Genomic DNA, 3,043 nt, shown 5'->3' on the forward strand with positions numbered 1-3,043 from the left:
CATTCTTTCTCAGAGAGAGAGAGAGAGAGCAGATCCAAAAGAGGCTGTGCCAAGTGCACACAATTCCTTTTTCTGATTTCATCAGATAAAACACTCCACCACCCTCAGAAGAGAGTAAGTGATGAGCTGGATGAAAGAGAATAGGTGTTATCTTGTAACGATTTTCCCAAGAGCAGAACCTACTTTATGGGGGTAAAGTAGAATCTGGAGAAATGTAGCAGAGAGGTCCCATGAAATGGTTTGCATGAAAGGCAATATGCTAAGTGTTTCATATGGCAAGGTGACAGGTAGTGAGGTAGTCTGAGTCTAGAGACTCCATACAAAACCTCCAGGCTGCGTGGACACTTCCAGACCCTGAGGAAGAGCAGTCACAAGGGGCCAGCTTGGATGAAGGGGCTGATCTCATCACAGGAGTGTCACATACACATCACCACTGAAGCATAAGTGATGCACCCTTCTCTCCACCTTTAGTGTCTGGACAAAGATGTTCTAAAATGGAGGAGGTGTTTTGTGAAATTGCCTCCTCCGTGCAGCCTATTTCCATCCAGGTTTCTCTAGTCCTCTTGATATCCTGAAAGGTGGGTATGGTTGCTATCTTACAGATGAGACATTTAAGGCCCAGAAGGGTTCAGTAGCTTGCCCAAGACCATACAGAACTACTCAGGGAATGGAGCCAAGATTGAATGACTTTAGAAAGCTCCTTCACTTTTCACCTTATCTAATTGCCAACTAGAGAATTATTTCCCAAGAGCTTGAAACTGGTTGGAGAGTGTGACAATACTAACTGATCTACACCTTAAGTAGGATGGGTTATACGATCTATACATAGAAAAGCCCCGTGGTGAGGGAGCTATGCATATGTGATGAATTTAGAATTTCTTTCTTTGCCTGTTTCACCTAAGTGCCTAGAACAAAAATGTGTTTCTTTTTTCATGGACTTTTCAGAAAGAGGCTTTAGCTATGTAGTAGTCTTGAGTGTCAGGTAGTCATGAGAATACAAATCTGTCAGCCATAAATATCCAGAGCTTTTTTGTGATACTAGCTTAAGGGCCTGGTGTTTCACAGTTACAGGTCCTTGATGGGCCAAGAAGGACTCAAGAAGAGAAACTGTATTGAGCTGGAAGAAATGACAGTGATGGATAACAGTGGAAGATGAATGTGGATATGATTTGATAGAACTTGGGTGTGGGCAATTCTTCCATTTCTTATTTAAAAATTCAAGTAGCTAATGGTTTAATAATTTAATAAAGAGTTGTAATTTTATAGGAAGATGGAAGGCCATTTATTGCTGGGATTTTTGCCAGACACTTCATATATTATCCTTCTTAATCCTCAAAAGAACCTACAAAAGTAGGTTGTAATAGCTCTGCCTCTGTCTCTCTTTCTTTCTCTGTCTGATTTTTAGCACATGAAAATGTTTAGGCTTAAAAAAGATTAAGTAACCTAAGTATACAGGTCAAAACCCACATTACTTTCAATATATAATACATTCCAAAAACTTAGCTTCTTAAAACACTATAGAGTTACAATGAGCAGTTCACATACATTGTCTTCTTAAGCCTTCACCTGACCCCTTGGAGTTAGTCTTTATATTGCTCACTTTGTTGATGATAAAGCTGAAGCTCAAAAAACTTATTTCTTACAGCCAGTAAAAAGCAGAGTTGGAATTCAAATGCAGGTCTTCTGACATCCAATATCAAGCTCTGTCCTCACTGTTCCACTGAAATCGGCGACACATTCCTTTTCACCCACAGGAAGCCTTTCTGTGTGAGTCATAACTTTGCATACAGAACAAAGCTGGCTGCCTAAGGACAGATGGGGGTTCATGGCCTTAGACCTTGAAAATCAAAATCTGCAAAGTGAGGCCAACATCAATATTGTAAAAAAAAAAAAAAACCCCTTTGGGACAAGTAATTGTGGATAGCAGCTCCAGAGTGCATTGTTAAAGGAAACTAGAACCTTTGGCATCATCCCAAATCAATTACATTGATATTAAGGAAGATAACCAGGATCTTTCTCCACATATACCTGGTTGCTCTTATGAGATACATAACTAGATAATCATTACATCTGTAAAGTCTAGACATTGGCACTGATTTTGTATCTTCTTTTTCTCTCCCTATTTATTTTCTTCACACATCCATCTCCTACATTAAGCTGCTTCATAATTGCACTTGGCAGCACCTGCCCAGCTAAAATTAAGTTTCAGGCCGGGCATGGTGGCTCATGCCTGTAATCCCAGCACATTTGGAGGCTGAGGAAGGAGGATCACTTGAGCATGGGAATTCAAGACCAGCCTGGGCAAGAGAGCGAGACCCCACCTCTGCAAAAAAAAAAAAAAAAAAAAGACTGAGCCTGCAGGTCGAGGCTGCAGTGAGCCATGATTGTGCCACTGCACTCCAGCCTGAGACTCTGTCTCAATAAAATAAATAAAATATAAAACAAAATAAAGTAAAATAAAATTTCACTGATAACAAAAGGCAGCATGTTATGGAAATTGACAAGGATTCTTTGCTTGGCCAAACTTCAGTCAGGCTTCTAAATCTTCTACTAGGCCCATCTGTGCACTTCTTTGTAAAATCCAGTTCTACCAAACAGCTCTACTTAGTCAGTTGTGCAAGAAACCCCCATCCTCAATATCTGATCAACTCGATATTTGATCAGTTTCCTCCACAGCTCCAGGTGATGTCTGATCACCCTGGCCAGGAAAACAGTCAAGGGTTCCTAAAAGAGGATGCGGGAATAAAAGACATGGTAAAAATCATTTTTTTCACAATAAGAAACCCCGGGCAGTTTTGGAAGGCTTCCCATTGTCTGACATGCACCCCTCAGTCCTAGCTATCTGAAAGAAAAGGAGAAAGAGCCTTCAAGGATCTCAAGGCACATAAAATGGAATCTGCTCTTCTTGTTTGGATCAATTTCTCACATCCAGGATAAATTGTCTGTAGGTACGGAGGTAGGTACACTTCATTAGGTGAAAAATGGAATATTTAAAAATACCTATTTTAAAATAAGATTCTACTTATCTCCTGTCTGGAAATCA

The 3,043-nt window shown here is 40.2% G+C and overlaps 1 annotated feature.

The window, feature by feature from the left end:
• Positions 441–735: a silencer, noted in NCBI's record as "tiled region #13664; K562 Repressive DNase matched - State 21:Repr". NCBI's record gives its function as "represses a minimal TATA promoter and a strong SV40 promoter by Sharpr-MPRA in K562 cells {active_cell/tissue: K562}" and the evidence as "EXISTENCE:reporter gene assay evidence [ECO:0000049][PMID:27701403]".

This window comes from Homo sapiens, chromosome 7 (genome assembly GCF_000001405.40).
Source record: "Homo sapiens chromosome 7, GRCh38.p14 Primary Assembly".
In the NCBI taxonomy this organism is placed as follows: Eukaryota; Metazoa; Chordata; class Mammalia; order Primates; family Hominidae; genus Homo; species Homo sapiens.